The sequence below is a fragment of the Homo sapiens genome, chromosome 4 (assembly GCF_000001405.40).
Source record: "Homo sapiens chromosome 4, GRCh38.p14 Primary Assembly".
NCBI classification, from domain to species: Eukaryota; Metazoa; Chordata; class Mammalia; order Primates; family Hominidae; genus Homo; species Homo sapiens.
Window position 1 is genome coordinate 9894461 of NC_000004.12, and position 16917 is coordinate 9911377.

Here is a 16917-nt window from a genome sequence, read left to right on the forward strand (position 1 = left end):
TTTGTCTGTCAGTTTTCCTGATTTTCTCCGGAGAGTTTTGACTTAAAAACACCAAAAAGTAGATTTAGTTGAAGTGTTGGATGCAAATCTCTGTCCCCTGTATTATGTCTTTATTCTTTCCAAATCACCAAATATTTCCAATACCCATACTGGCAATTTTTCATAACTGTGTAAAATATGGTTTTGGTACAATCTAAAGATGTCACAGCTTTTCTTGTGGCTAACAGGACAGAGCCAAAAGTTAAGCTGTTGCTGAAAATGAAGGTTGTTCATAACTGGAATATGCAGGAACTCTGTCTCCTAAGCTTCTTAGGGGAGTTGGATTAGAGTATCCAGTGACCTGGTGCTGAAATGACAACAGAATGTGCCATGGAAGAGCATCACAGTTGCTGGGAGATATTATTACACTGCAATCAGCATGTGTTACATTGTCATAGGGAGATCAGCACATGTTACATTGTTATAATGAGATTAATATGTGTTATATTGTTACACTAAGCTTATCATGTGTTACATTGTTTTACGGAAATTAACATATATGTTTACTGATTTCAGTATTTTGAAGTTTTTAAAAAAGAGTTTCAAGTGCACCACCCACAATTTCAGAGTCAGAAAGTGTGCTTACAAAAGTCAGTTGAGAACCATTATCTTACACCATGATGCTGACGTTCAAATACTTTGGAAAGGGTGGGGTGAGGGACATGTGGCTTTTTGTTTCGTTTCCCTAAAGTCTCTTGATGAACCAGTAACTTGAGCCAATGAAAGGCTGAACACATTCTCCCTGATTCAGAAATGATCTTTAAAGATGGTCTAGGAAGACACCAGGGAAACAGCTTTGAAAGAGAAAGAAGGGATAAAAACAACCCTCCCATCTGACAATCAGTCTCCCGGCTCTGTTCTTCTTCCCTCCCTCCTTTAAGTCCAGTTAAAGTGCAGCCTGTTGGAAGGGATTAGAGCGAACGTGGTATTTCCACTTGACATTAAAATCATGAGTGAAGACATTAACTCAGACGAACAGCAGACTGAAGGCTACTGATGTCAGCTAGGGATGACTGTCAAAATCCTAATGCTCCCAGGAAACCCCTCTGGGGACTCTGGAGCCATGGGGTCACCCATCCACTCAGCAGCCATTCACCCAGCACCCAGTGCCCTTCCCCACAGGGCTGGGACCTCTGGTGAAATAATAATGGGAACCTTTTGTTCTGGTTAGGATTTTAAGAAGCAGCTTTATAAAGGTGTAGTTTTCATTCAGTCTAATGTACCCATTTGAATTGCACAGTCTTGTATGTTTTGACAAATGTATATACCTTATAACCACAACTACAATTAGGATATTGAACATTTCCATCACTTCCCAGAATTATCTTGTGTCTCTTCCCCCAACTCCAGGCAACCTCCGATCTGCTTTCCAGCACAAGGATTCGATTTATCATTTCATATTGCTTATTGCAGTGTTTTTGAGATTCATCCTTCTTGTAGTACATATCAACAGTTCTTTTGTATTGCTGATCAGTATTCCATTGCATGGATATACCAAAATTTGTTTCTCCATTCACCTGTTGACCCAATAGCTGTTTCCAATTTTCAGCTCTGAGAAATAAAACCATTATGATTATTGAGTCTTCATGTAGACTTGTGCATTGATTTCTCTTGGGTAAATATGTATAAGTGGAATGACTGAGTTGGATGGGTAAAACCTTTATAAGAAACTGCTAAAATGTTATCTGAAGGGGTTGTGCCATTTTATGTTCCCACCAGCAGTGGATGAGCCTTCCTGTTACTCCACATCCTTGGCAACACGTGGTATTATATCAACCATTTAAATTTTTGTCACCATTTTGGTGAACAATGGTATCTCACTGTTGGTTTTAGTTTTAATTTCCCTGGTGACAGTAACAATGTTGAAGATCTTTTCATGTGATTTTTGATGTTTTGGAACTCTTCTTTGGTAAAGCATGTGTTCATATATTTTGCTCATTTTCAAGTGGGCAGTTGGTCTTATTTTTGAGTTTTAAGAGTTCTTTATGTATTCTGAATTCACGTCCCCTCTCAAATGTGTTTTATAGGTATGTTCTCCATGTCTGTGACTTACCTTTTTATCTCCTTAACAATACCTTTTAAATAGTCACAGTTTTTAATTTTGATGAAATCCAATGTATCATTTGAAAAATGGTTTGTGATTCTGTATCTTTCCTATCCTAATGTTGCAAAACTTTCTCCTTTGCTTCTAGAAGTTTTAGAGTTTAGCTTTTATGTCTAGATACGTGGTCCATTTTGAGTTAATTTTTTGTATGGTATAATAAGGGTTGCCATTCACATTTTTCCATGTGGATATCTACTTTTTATGACACTACTTGTTGAAAAGACTATCCTTTCCTCATTGAATTACTTCAGCAACTTTTTGTTTTCTGGATTCCATTCTGTTCCATTGATCTGTGGGGCTGCCCTTATGCCAATCTCATGCTGTCTTTATTCCCATGTTTGAACATTGTTACAATCCTTGCTATGTACCAGGAATGGTTCCGGCTGCTTTATATATATTAATAACTTAACTCTGATTACATTTTCTTGGGGTAGGTGCTGTTATCATCCACTATTATATCCAGAACTTGAGGCTCAGAGAGGTTTAGCAACCTGGCTAAGGTTGCACAGTGAGTCAGAATTCAAGTCTAGGCACTCCGGCTCCAGAGTCTTGCTCTTAACCTTTGTGTTCTACTTCCTCTCCCCAGTGTTTCTGAGGCAAATACACATTCACATTTATCAAAAGAATATGCACATGCTCCCAAAGTTTTTCTCCCTTCATTTGTGTGAGCTGCCTGAGGTCACTGAGAGCCTCCAACAGCACTGGCACTGGGGCACAGAGAAGACAGAGCCAGGAGTCTCTGCCCTTGGGGAGCTTTATGGGCTGAATTGCATTCTCTCAAAAAAGGAAATATTGGAATCCTAATCTCCTATTCCCTAGAATGTGACCTTGTTTGGGAATGGGGTCTTTATTTTTAGGTGATTCAGTTAAAAAAATGTGACCTTGTTTGGGAATAGGGTCTTTATTTTTAGGTGATTCAGTTAAAATGACATCATTTGGATGGGCCTCAATCCATGATGACTGGTGTCCTTGAGCCAATGGAAAAGGGAAAGTGTGGACACGGAGACAGACACGCACACAGGCCTGTAATCCCAGCACTTTGGGAGGCCAAAATGGGTGGATTACTTGAGGTCAGGAGTTCGAGACCAGCCTGGCCAACATGATGAAACCCTGTCTCTACTAAAAAAAATACAAAAAGTAGCCAGGTGTGGTGGTGCATGCCTGTAATCGCAGCTACACGGGAGGCTGAGGCAGGAGGGAGGTTGAATCGCTGGAACTGGGATGCAAAGGTTGCAGTGAGCTGAGATTGTGCTACTGCATTCCAGCCTGGGTGACAGAGTGAGACATTCCACCTCAGAAAAACCAAAAACAAAAAAAGACATACACAGACAGAATGTCATCTGAAGATGAGGCAGGGGTTGGGATGATGCTTCTGCCAACTAAGAAACACCCAAGATCACCTGTAAGTTCCTGGAAGCTGGGAGAGAGGCACGGGACATTCTCCCTCACAGCCCTCAGGAGAAGTGAGCACTGCTGATGCTTTGCTCTCAGGCTTCTGGCCTTGAGAACTGTGATACAATAAATTCCTGTTGTTTAAGCCACGTAGTTTGTGGCACATTGTTTTGGCAGCCTGGGCAAACCAACACAAGGAGCTAACACCTGATGGAGGGCAGGGCTTGTAATGTTGCCTGCTAAATGATTGAATGTATGTAAAAAAAAGAAGGAAGGTAGTCTCCAAATATGTACAACTATTATATGACAATAAACAACATTTTAAAAAGGAAGAGCTGGAGGGCAAGAAAATATCGCCTAAAATTTAATTTATTTCAAATTTATCTCAATTAAAGCGTCCAAATTTGATGTAATGTGCTTTCATATTATTTCACATACATTACTTTATATACACTTTATTTATTGCTCATTGTCTATATTGTATTCAATGTGTATATCTCTCTATATAAACTGCATGCGGTACTCCGTGCATGGCAGGAGTTCCTGACTTTCTCAGGGACTACAGCGTCCTACATGAGTTCTTCCCTGTGCCAGGGTGAGCCTTTTGGTCGTAGAAGATGCCCCATTCTCTGTGTCCAACTCCAGGCCGGGGCCTTTTTAAATTCTTCTGATTTACATAATCCCCATCCTTGCCTGGCTTGATGCTTCTGGGTCTGTGGGCCGTGTGGACTGATTGTGCGCAGGGGCCCTAGAAGCCTACCAGGAGGAAGCCCTGTTGGTTGGGCTCTGCCTCCCTCAGGACGTCCTGTCTGACTGCTCCCTGCAGGGATCCCAGCCAAAGGCAAGAGCTCCCTCTTTAGTCAGCTGGTGTGATTTCCTCAACAGGCTTTACTAGAGCCGTACTCCGTTGAGCAACCATTAATGGTATTGAATGCATGACAACTACTATGGCCATTTCTTTAAACATGATGCATGACACACACTCTCTCTCTCCCTCCCTCCCCCTCTCTCTCTCTCTTTCTCTCTTTCAAATTTACATTTTAAAGCAACTCTATGAGGTTTCCCCTAATAACTCAGCCAAAGCGGTGCAGACAACTGAGACTCTTTCAGAGAGAAATGTAAATGCTGGGGCAAGATGTGGCCCAGATGAGGGCCACCCCGCAGGCATCCCAAACAGCTGTTTCCTAATCCTGACATGTTGGAATGGAGGAGTACCTGAGGAACCCTTGGCACATGAGCAATTGGTGACTTTCTAGTCAGAAGTTGGATTATTGTCAAAGTTTTAGCTGCAAAAGGATGGGAGAAAGGAGCAGAGAATGGTGTGATTATCACTGACGCAGCTCCCTCTGCAGAGAACAGAAGGCCAAGGTACATTACATGAAAAGCAATTTCACATTCCAGTATTACTTTTAGCTGCTGGTAATCCTGTTTTAAACATGCAAAGGCTAATCTTTACTTTCACAGATCTCTCTAAAAAGAAGCCAAGACCTTGGAAAGCTGTGGTTATTGCAAGTTAGTGAAATTTTAAAATTTATGTTCAGAGGACAGAGTGCCAGAAACAATTTTCTGCTTGGGACAGGCTCTCTCTAAGTTAAAAACGGAATATAATTCAATGAAACAAACTTTTTTGGGAATTTCTGCTTAAAAGATGAATGTGCATAAAAGGTATCGGTGTATCTGTTTGGGCCAAAGGTGTGAGAAATGAGAGTTGTGTTTTAAATAATGATCATCCCAGGGTGGCCCATGATCTCTAAGTATAACAAATTAAAATGTCTTGAGATATTTCAGCCAAAGTGCAAAACAGACATGGGTTTTCCTTCCATCCCATGCCAACTGGGATGGAAGGAAAGGCTGGCAGCAGACAGGCTTTTCCAAGTTCTCCAGTCCTGTGGACGTCTCCTCCACTTGGGTCACTTTACAAGCTTGGCTTGAGGCCGTAGCTTCTGCAGTTTCTAAGTGAAGCACTCCCCCTCATGCTCTTACTCTTCTCAAAAAAGGCAAAATGTGGTTCTCAACAGGTTTGTGAGGATACATTCATATTGTTCTTGGAAATTTGGGCAAGTAGAAAAAAAAATAGCTCTTCAAGGAGCAGAGAAAGAGACACTGGATGTCCAGATGACTTAGGAGTCAGGGCTTCCATAGCAGGAGCATCGAGTTGGCAGAGGGCAGTGGGCAGTGGGAACAGCCGCCACTTAGAACTGACACAAGGGGATGGTAAATGCTGTCTCCACCCTGCATCCCATGAGCCACATCCGCACTTTCCTTTGGTGAGTGAAGCTGGTGGGGCCGGACACAGGGGAGCCAAAGGATGTTATCAGAGGGATGGGGAGTAAATCAGGAAAATTTGGTGGGAAGTAAAGACTCAGGAGCACATCCCAAGAGTCAGAGGGTGAGCTGCAGGAACGGACTTGTGGGTATGTCCTTGGCCAAACTCAAAAATAGAGCTACTTACTTAAAAGATATTATTCAGAGCTTGGGGTGGGTGGGAGTGGAAACTGCAGGGGAATGTGCTTCCAGGGCAAAACCCCACCTTTTCTGCTTGGGGATGCTGGGGCACTGACTCTGTTTCTTCCCTTCCTCATCCCCACCCAGTCCTCACCCCATGAGGATAACCTGTCATAACCAGAAGTATTAGTTCATTCTCATGCTGCTATAAAGAACTGCCGAAGACTGGGTAGTTTACAAAGGAAAGAGGTTTAATTGACAAAGTTCCACAGGGCGGGGGAGGCCTCAGGAAACTTACAATCATGGTGGAAGGGGAAGCAAACTCATCCTTCTTCATGTGGTGGCAGGAAGGAGAATGAGTGTCCAGTGAAGGGGGAAGTCCCTTATAAAACCATCAGCTCTCATGAGAACTCACTCACTATCATGAGAACAGCATGAGGGTAACTGCTCCTATGATTCAATTACCTCCCACCGGTCCCTCCCATGACACATGGGGATTGTGGGAACTATAATTCAAGGTGAGATTTGGGTGGGGACACAGAGCCAAACCATATCAACGAGAGTCCACATTTCTCTGCCTGCTTCCTGCTCAGGCAATGGTAACACTAATGCTTTTGATCTAAGCTCTGAACATGAAAAGCCATTTAGCCTGAGTTTTAACTTCTCAGATCTGGGGATGCCACCCAGCTCAGACTGAGCTCAGGCCCCCAGGGGTTTGGGTTGGGAGCCAAGGGGAAAATCTAGCTTTGTTTCTGCTTGCTACAACCCTCATTTCTCCTAAGGTCCTGTAACATTTGTTAAATAAACTGGGGACTTGATCTAGTATTTTAGTGGAGGAAGGGTGTAGTTTCTTCTAGTCTGTGACCTATAGAAATGCCATAGAATCATTATTTATCAATGAAAAAGGAATGTCTGTCAAGGGAAATTAATTGAACTCAGTCCTTTCGAGGCCAGTTCTAGAGCACATGTCAGTGTGATGATTCACAGGGAAAACCGGCCTCTCTCCAAGCCTTGTGACAACGCTGTTTCTACCCTTGTCACCCTCTGCCATTATCTATTTTGTCTACAGCAGTCAGAGGGATTTAAAGCATGACCTGGCACTCTCCTTTTAACACCCCTGTCCACTAAAAGCCTTATAGACAGCAAAGAAAACAATCAACAGAGTGAAGAGAAAACCTACAAAATGGGAGAAAAGATTTGCAAACCATATTTGAATCCCCTCAAGCCCCATGCCCCCCCACCAGCCCCTTGGCCCCTCAAGCGGCAGCCACATCCTTGCCCCTGCCTTGGGCTGCTGCAGACATCCCTGTCACCTCTCAGATTCTTGCTGTCTGTCCTAGAGGGAGACCCATTGGCTCAAATCAACAAGCTCCCTGCCCTCTGACCTCTAGGCGGCTTCAGCAGAAATCAGAAATCAGAGGTCAGAAATCAGAAGGCAAAAGAAAGAGAATGAGGCCAGGGGTTGGTTTCTTGGTTCACTTTCTACAGAGACATTTTGCCTGGCTTTGTCCCTCTATCAAAGGTTGCAGCTCCTGATAGGTGGCGTACCCACCCTACATGCCCTCGGCTGCCCTGAATTAATCTGCCTTCGAGCTGCTCAGGTTCACTGTGTCCCTCTTTCCCAAAGGTTTTTCTTTCAGCAGCTTCTTTTGCCTGACATGCTCTTCCCAGACAGCTGGGCTCACCTGGAGCCTGACCACAATATTTAAAATGGCAACTGCCCCCGTCTCTCCATTCCCCTTTCTCTGCTCTACTGTTTTCTCATAACATCCTTCACCTTCTAAAACACTGTGTGGGGTACTCCCTTGTTACACTGTCTGTGACCCCATGAGGAGCTCTCCTTCTCCACAGCAGAGACCTTTGTCTGTTTTGTCCACTGGCACAGAGCAGGGGCCCAAGTGAGCACTTGCTGAGTGCTGGAGGAAGAAGCATCCTGGCCTTGGGCTCGTCTTCTAGTCTTTGAGAGGTAGCAGGGCAGCTTCGGCATTTTCCATGTCTGCTTCTCTTCAGGAATATTAATAACAAGAGTAACTGCGTGAGTTTCCCAGGGCTGCCGTGATAAGGTCCCACAGACAGAGCGGCTTCAGCAATAGAAACGTGTTGTCTCACAGTTCTGGAGGCTGGAAGTCCAAGATCAAAGTGTCTGCAGGGCCCTGCCTCTGGAGGCGCCAGGGAAGGGTCTGTTGCAGGGCCCTCTCCTGGCTTCTAGTGTGTTTTGGCTTTCAGCAGCACAATTCTAATTTTTAGAGGGCGTTCTGCCTGTGTGTATGCCTGCATCTAAATTTTCCCTTTTCATAAGGACAGTCGTATTGGATTAGGGGCCCACCCTATTCCAGTATAACCGTATCTTACCTTAACTAATTACAACTGCAATGATCCTATTTCCAATTCAAGTCACATTCCGAGGTACTAGGGACTTCAACACATGCATTTTGAGGAGGTGCAATTCAACCCATAACAATAGTGAACATTTATTGAGTATGTTCTCTATGCCAAGCACTGTGAATTACAGTATGATTCCCATGACAATACCTGCTGAGGCTTAGATCTGTTATTATTGCCACTTTCACTAAGAGAAAAATGGGTATCAGAGAGGTTAAGTGACTAGCTCAAGGTCACCCAGCTAGCAGCTGCGGGGCCAGTATGAAACAGAGCCCAGATGATCTATCACCCTGCTTTCTCCCTTTTACCACGTTCTGCTCTCACACGGGCTGGATCCAGTGTCCTGAGTTCCAGCAGTAAACTCTGAGGCCTTTGATTCTGAAATTGTCGAATTTATTGGGAAGCAATGGAGACTACAGGCAACAGAAACCATAAGGATTTTTTTTTTTTTTACTACAAGTCAAGAGCATATTCCATTCTTGCTAATTATGAAAATGTACTGCAGTGAATCAGAATGACTTCCTGTGAATTCTGACCCCTGATTTGTAAAAGCACAGAGTCTGTGCTTCTCAAGAGTGAGCCCTCACCCCACAAAGCTCCTGCCCCACATGGCCTGAATGACGCTCACTGGAAGTTCACTCATCAGAGAGTTAACACTGTGCCAGGCAAATCAATTTGGAAAACCAGCTGTTTCTGAAAGATGGCGATTATTTACAGTTCCCCAAGCTGATGACTGACGCCCTGAGCCAAAATTAATTGCAGATCAAATGAGCAAAGATGTCTTTCCCCTCTCAACTTTATTAGCCTCCTGAGCCATTTTAATAGACTGTCAAAATCTCATAAGAGGAATGAAAAAAATTGGAAAGTCTTTTTGGATAAGCAATCACTTCAAAGGGCTGGATGAAATATATAGACATATATTTGTGTGTTTATTACATATGTAACTGTATATATATAAATATATTTATTGCCTTCTTTTCAAATATATTTCAAGATATATAATATATTTTGTATATTATATAAATATATAAAATATATTTTATATATTATAAATTTTATATATTTATATATTTTATATCAATAAATATATAAAATATATCTACATATTTTATTTCCTTGTTTTCAAATACATAATATATAAACATTATAATATATTATGCATATTATATATATAACCTATATAAATATGATATTTTTATATATACATAACTTTGGAAAGTGCAAGGAACTTACCTTATATTGATGCTCTGTGAGGAACAGGGGAGTGGCTTTCACACACTTTGGATTTTGTTTCCATAATTCTGTCAGATGCTGTATTAGTTTCCTATTGCTGCTGTAGCGAGTTACCACAGACTCAGTGGCTTAAAACAACCCAGGTGGATTATCTTATAGTTTTGGAAATCAGAAGTCTAGAATAGATCTTGCAGTGCAAACACGATGGTGTCTGCAGGGCTGGTTCCTTCTGGAGGCTCCAGGGCAGAATCTTGCCTGCTGCAGCTTCTAGAGAACATCTGCATTCCTGGGCGTGTGACCCCTTCCTCACCTTCAAAGCTGGCAATGGCGTCACTCCTGCCTCTGCTTCCACCATCACATCTCCTTCTCTGACTCTGACCCTCCTGCCTCCCCCTTTCACTTACAAGGACCCTGTGATAATATTGGGCTCACCTGGGTAATCCAGGGTTAGCTCCCTATCTCAAGATTAGTCCCACCTGCAACATTCCTTTGTGCCATGTAAGGTAATATATTCCCAGCTTCTGGGAATCATGGTGTGGACATCTTGGGGAGCCATTGTTTTGCCTACCACAGGTGGGAATGGTTATGTCCATTTTACAGATGAGCAAATAAATTCAGATGTGTTGGGCAATGTTCCCAAGACCACTTAGCTGGTAAATGGGTGATCAGGATTTGAATTCAGAGTAGCCTCATCCTAAAGCCAAAGCTGTTTCTCCCCAGAACATTTTTCTATTCCACACTCTCAACCTCATGCTGAATTTAGTTTCATGCCTTTCCAGGAATTGGGGTCAATGCTACCATTTTAAGGACTGTTTCCAATGGACTATTCTGCATCCATCCTTGCATCTCCAGCTCTTTGAGAAGATGAAAGGGGGACAGACTACCCAATGCACTTCACTTCACCTAACTTCTGCTGGCCCTTCAGCTCTCAGGTTCCTGGTCCCTGTCTCCAGGAATCCCTCCCAGAACCCCTTATTTGAGAGGGAAGCTCGTCTCAGTGTTGCATGTGGTAATTGTTTCCAGGTTTGCTTTTCTCTCTAGATCACGGCAACGTCACCTGTGACAGCTGGCACAGTATGAGTGCACCTTAGGTGTCTGTGGAATGGATGAATGCATGCCTGCATGAAAGAATCCACCACCCAAGCTCTGAATCATCACTTCCTGCTCAGAGGAACCTCCCACACAGAGATTCCTGCACCTCTAGAACAGCAAAACATCATTTATCCTTGGGTCATAGTCAACCTCCTCCATTGGACTGTGAGCTCCTACAGGCAGGCACCATGGCAAAGGCCCTCTGTAAGCCCAGCACAGGGCCAACAGCCTGACCATGGGAGGAGCTGGCAAGAGCTTGCTAAATGGCGGGGTACCAACTGGCCATGGTCCAGATGACTGAGATCCACTGGGTCCAAACTTAAAGGCAGTGGCAGGAGTGCTCTCCAGAGGCTGAGACTCTGAGTTCTGATTTTAGAAAGGACTCTTCCTTCCCTTCCAGGACTGTGAAGTCATTTACCCTCCTTTCTGGGGTTTCCAAGGAATACTTTGCCCAAAATTGTCAGCTTTTAAGGAAGATGATCTGCCTGCCAGAGCATCGGGATGAGAAGGAGTGGCTTCTGGAGTCTGGAATGAATAAGAATGGCTTCCCGTGAAGTCTTCTTGCACCAAGGGAAGAAGTGTAGCCACTTCCTCAGTGTGCCCCTCTTTCAAACAATGGCAGTCATTGGACTTTCAGGCATGATGTGAGCATTCATGAGGTCCCATGTAGAACACTTTGGGGTGTCGGTGGCAGGGACAGTAGGGGCCCCATGATGTTCTCTTTCCCCACTCTCTTGGGTTCTGAGCCAGCTGACTGTGTGACCCAGAGTAAGTCACTCCTTTTGGTCTTAGTTTCCTCAACTGTCAAAAGATAGCAAGACCCCCTGTAAAATCCTGCTCTCCACAAGGATGTCCATCGTAGCCTTATGTAAAATCACACATTATGGAAATCTACCTAAATAGGACAAGAATAGTTACCACTTACTGGGTGTATACCATTTGCCAGCCACTGCTGGAATCACTTAATGTATATTCATTGGTACAATCCTCAGCCCATCCCTATGAAGCAGGGATGATGGCTTTTAGAAGTGGGGAAACTGAGTCACAGAGATGCTGAATAACTTACTTGGGGGTCACGCGGCTAATAAAAAGACACAGAGCTGGGACTGGAACCCAGAAAGCATGGCACTGCCATCAGGTTCCGAGCAGAGACATTCAACAACCTCACCCGCAGACAATGGTTAAGGAAATTATCATACAGAAAATTACTGGAGAAGGATAAATCGTTCAGCACTAGTGTTAATTCAGGGAAGGTGATGATCTACATGATTTTCTGCATATATGATACACTTCAACAAAAAAATAATAAATAAGAAAATGGAGAGTCATTCTGACATAAGATTATGTGAACAAAAGCAGATCAGAGCTCGTATTTAGAATAGGATTACTGTGCTACTATGTAAGAAATATACATCTATGCATAGAAAGACAAGGGAAGAATTTGCCAAACTTCCTTGGGTAGTATGATTGTAGGTAATTTCTTCTTTGTTCCTCTCTATTTTTCCGAATTTTACAAATTTGCCCTAATGAGCTGGTATTGATTTCTTCACAACACCAATAAAATACTTTACAAAAAACAAAAAACATCTCCCGTACTTCCCCCATAAGTTTCATCTCAGACTGTGTTTTTCCATTGCTCAAAGTAAAAATAAATAAACAAAACTGGGTGCAGTCTATAACTTGAGAATAACAAGAATGAATCTTGTGAAACTTCCAGAATGTGAAACGTTGAAATGTTTTCTTCTAATAAAAAGACCACAAAGTGGAAAGGGAAAGAGACAAAACATCATTCCTCTACATTTTTTATGGTATCTATTTTTTAAAAGCATCTTGTTAGAATGACCCATTAAGTGCAAGGTACAAAATGAAATGTTCTGTCAACAAGAAGTCAGAAAGACAATTGCAAGCCTCTGCCTGTTTGCATGGGCATCAATCTTGTCAGTGCAAATCAGTGAGCAAGAGTGAAAATAAATGAACTACTCCATCAAGGTCAGAGAATATAACTCTCTAATTTTAGCCCTCTCTTTCCATTTGGAAGGGAGCCTAACTGTGTGCTGTGTGCCCAAAATGTGAGGCACAGACATAGCTACAAAAAAGAAGAGACACAAGCATTTCATAAAGAGGACAACTGAAGCTCAGAGATGTTGAGTGCACTGCTCAGTGCTACACAGCCAAGAAGTGCCGGAGCCAGGATTCAAATCCAGTTTGATCTGATTCCAAGATCTGGAAATTTCTACTAGGTTCTGAAGCCACCCAACTTTCCCCTCCACCAGATGTTTGTTTTGCATATTGGAGGTTGAGAAACAGTGAGGAGCTCTATGCCTTCTTTTGAACATATTGGCTTATTATTAAGGTCTTCCTCTCTATTATACTGGTCAACTGAATGTCCTTTCTCCTTTGCCTTGCAAACTCCCACATGTCTGGGGTAATGAGATGACTGCTAATGGTTTTGAAACATTTTAAATGTCATGGTAAGAGATTGGAGATTCAAGCCAATTCTCTGATCCGAACTCCTGGGGACAATATGGCCCTGTTTCACAGGGCATTCATATTTCATCATTTGTGACTAGGTGAGAATTCAAAGGATGGAGTTATTTATTAAAAGGAAGATGACAGGGAAGCAAAATCTAGGAAGGAAATATTCTCTAGATGGGTAAAATGTCAGTGAAGAATATTCTCTAGATGGGTAAAATGTCAGTGAAGAGCTGCATGATGACCTCCTAAAATCCAGCCCCCTTTGGCATGATAAAGGACATGCTCCTCTAAAGAGATGCCTGTTTGTTGCCTTAGGTTCCCACATTGCAGTGTTGCCTGCCCCGGAGGTGTCAGGAACTGGGTGAGAATTGTCGCTCTTCAGTACCCACTTTGAGGTTTTGGGTCAATAGCCCAGACACAAATGATGTCTGGGTTCTCCCCATCCCAGCTATTTCTTTAAAACCAAGAGTTTGCTGAATGATAGGAAACCACATTGTCCTAATTGATGAATTCTGATGGGGAAAGCCTGTGCCTTAAAGGACCTTATGAACATTCCCACTGTGCTGTGTAACCCCCTGTGGCATTCTCAGGAGTAACCCTCAGTTGACTTACAGAGAAGACGGCAGCCAAAGTCTCGATGCCCCCTGTACTCAAGGTGACGTATGGGATCTTTGCCGGAGGGATCCCAGCTTTTCCAAAGATGCTGTTGGTATAGAACCAAATCTGTAATTCAGGAAAGAATGAGCAGAGAGAATGGTCAGTGGAAGGACTTAATCTATTTTCTAAATCAAATTTGGGTATCAGGTGGTCTCTGGATTAAACTCAGAGTCCCAAGGTGGAGAGGCGTGGATGCTCATTTTTCATTTTCATCCCACCTTCTCCCTTTCTTCATTACTTTTTTTCCTTATTTTATTATTTTATTTTTTATTTATATATATATTTTATTATACTTTAAGTTCTAGGGTACATGTGCACAATGTGCAGGTTAGTTACATATGTATACATGTGCCATGTTGGTGTGCTGCACCCATTAACTCGTCATTTACATTAGGTATATCTCCTAATGCTATCCCTCCCCACTACCCCCACCCCACAACAGGCCCTGGTGTGTGATGTTCTCCTGCATTACTGGGAATGTCCAGCTAAAAGACTACACTTCCCAGTTTTCTTGCAGCCAAGTGTGGCAGCGAGATAGAAACAGTAATGTTGGTGGGGCTTCCAGGAAGTTTCCTTTTTTTAAAAGGAACTTTTCATCAAGGAGGTCTGCTTCCATTTTTGTTTGTCCTTCCTTCTTTCTGTGTCAGGATGGTGGAGGTGATGGCTGGAGCCTCAGCAGCCTTTTTTGGATTACTAGGTGACTTCAGAACAGCACTGCCATTAACCTCCATCGTAACTTTATGAGAACCAGAAAAGGTCCCCACTACACAAAACGCTTTACTGTCATCCACTGAAAAATTGCCATAGTAAATCCACAATGCATACAAGGTGAAAGATGTTCCCCAGAGTTGGGTAATGCACAACCTGTTTAACTATACATAGAGCCCCTGCCTTGGGATAAAAGCCACTTGTTTAGATGCTGGACCAGGAAGTTAGAAAGAGTTAGCCTGTGCCCTTACTGACTACACTGGTTCTGTAATTTATTATCCAAACATGAGGACTTTTGAGAGTGTTGATAATTATGCTAGGATGACACACTTACATTGAGTGTGTCCTGGGAAAACCAGGATGTGTGGTCTTGGAGTTGCTATACCAGCCCTCGCAACTTATTTCATGTGAGACTGAAAACCTTCCATCTTGTTGAGGTCTCTGTTGGGGTACCTGCCACATGAGGTTAGACCTAAATCCTAATTGATGCCCATGGCATCAGACAAGAACTGATTAGGAGTTTGGAGACCTGGCTCCATCTTGAACTAGCTGTGTGACCTCAGGCAATTCACCCTGCCATGAGGAGATTCCTACTCCTCCCCAGTCAAATGAACATGACCATGCTTATTTTGCCTGTCCCATGAGGTGTCAGGAACTGGGTGAGAATTGTCACTCTTCAGTATTCACTTTGAGGATTTTAGCCTGGACACAAATGATGTCTGGGTTCTCCCCATCCCAGCCATTTCTTTAAAACCAAGAGTTTGCTGAATGATAGAAAACCACATTGTCCTAACTGATGAATTCTGATGGGGACACCCCCTGCATTAAAGGACCTTATGAACATTTATGAACAGTTTGATACTTATTCAGCAGAAGTGTTAGAGCACATTGCTCATAACCTGTCAGGTCCAACGTTAGCTGGCCACACTCTCGCATTTTGCTCTTTGTTTCTGGATGAAGCTCTTGTTTCTATAGATCTGTTTTATTGCCAGATGTTTTTAGCAAAAATTATTCATGCATTGGGGGGAAGATATAGGACCTACTTATATCTACAGATGGTTAAATTTTGTGAAGAAAGTAAACCTCCATAAAGTTATGGGCATACCAAGAGATGCCAGTGAAAACTACGACACCCATTTCTTCGAGCTTGCAGGCATGGATACATCCATCTATTGGCAAAAACAGGTTTTAATATTCGTGTAAAACAAGAACCTTCATGTTCTGCACCTGTTTCTCACTTGAGTGAACGTTAGACTCCATCGTTAGCCTGAACCTTTGCTGTCACATCCATGGTGTACAGAGGTAGTGCCTAATAAATCCACTAATTCCTATTGTTCTCAGGGCTGTGACAGAAGCTGACATTATAACATTATCCTGAAAACTCTATGTCCATTGAATATGTTTATACAATTGCTTCCCCTTTAGAAGGTAACTATGATCCCCAGTGCACCGTCAGGGTTGGATTCCAGAAGTGTAACAGCCTTTCTTAATCATCAGCCAAATTCACTGATTTTCAATGGCCAACGTTCTCTAGGGACCCTCTTAATGCCCTCAGGCTGCCAGGCTGTCACCCATGTGAAGGTGTCTGACATTTGTGTTATTCACAGCCGTGGTTCTGATCCCCATGGCCTGACCAGCTCATGGTCCTGAGGCTCCCAGCCCTAGGTCCCACTTAATGTGAATCCTCTTATGATGTGGCCAGCACCTCCTTCTGGCTCCTCTCACCCCTCACAACCCCGTCTTCCCTGGTTTCAATTCTCCCCATAGAGACACTGCTATAGATGTCCCTTAGTAGGTTAGTGAAGAGAGTCATTGTACATAAAATTCTAAGTTCAGTGAGGGACAGTTATAACTTTTGCAGGGAAATTGATGAAGCTGGAAACCATCATTCTCAGCAAACTAACATAAGAACAGAAAACCAAACACCACATGTTCTCACTCATAAGTGGAAGTTGAACAATGAGAATACATGGAAACAGAGAGGGGAACATCATACACCAGGGCCTGTTGGGGTGTGGGGGGGCTAGAGGAGGGATGGCATTAGGAGAAATATCCAATGCAGATGACAGGTTGATGGGTGCAGCAAACCATCATGGCACGTGTATACCTATGTAACAAACCTGCACATTCTCCACAGGTATCCCAGAACTTAAAGTATAATAATAATAATAATAAAGCAATAAAAGCCATATTTAGTCTTATATTCATTCATGCACCAAAAGGCAGAAATCAGTCCACAGATCCTCTCCCGCTGCCCAGGGGCTACAGGGGTCCTGCCGGGCTGGCCCTGTCTGCCCCGGGGCAGACCTGTACATCACACACACTGCCAGTCTTAATCTGTTTGTGACACGAAGCCACTGCCCTCCCCCTACATCAGCTGATAGAGTGGG

General features: G+C 43.1%; 1 protein-coding gene across 27 annotated transcripts in view; it reads right to left on the reverse strand.

The window, feature by feature from the left end:
- The window catches only part of SLC2A9 (solute carrier family 2 member 9), a 269246-nt gene that overhangs the window by 123436 nt on the left and 128893 nt on the right, over positions 1-16917 (reverse strand). For all 27 annotated transcript variants that reach the window (XM_011513867.4, XM_011513858.2, XM_047415973.1 and 24 more), the window contains one exon: positions 13775-13885. In XM_011513867.4, the coding sequence (XP_011512169.1) occupies positions 13775-13885 (111 nt within the window). The remainder of the gene's footprint in view (positions 1-13774; positions 13886-16917) is intronic.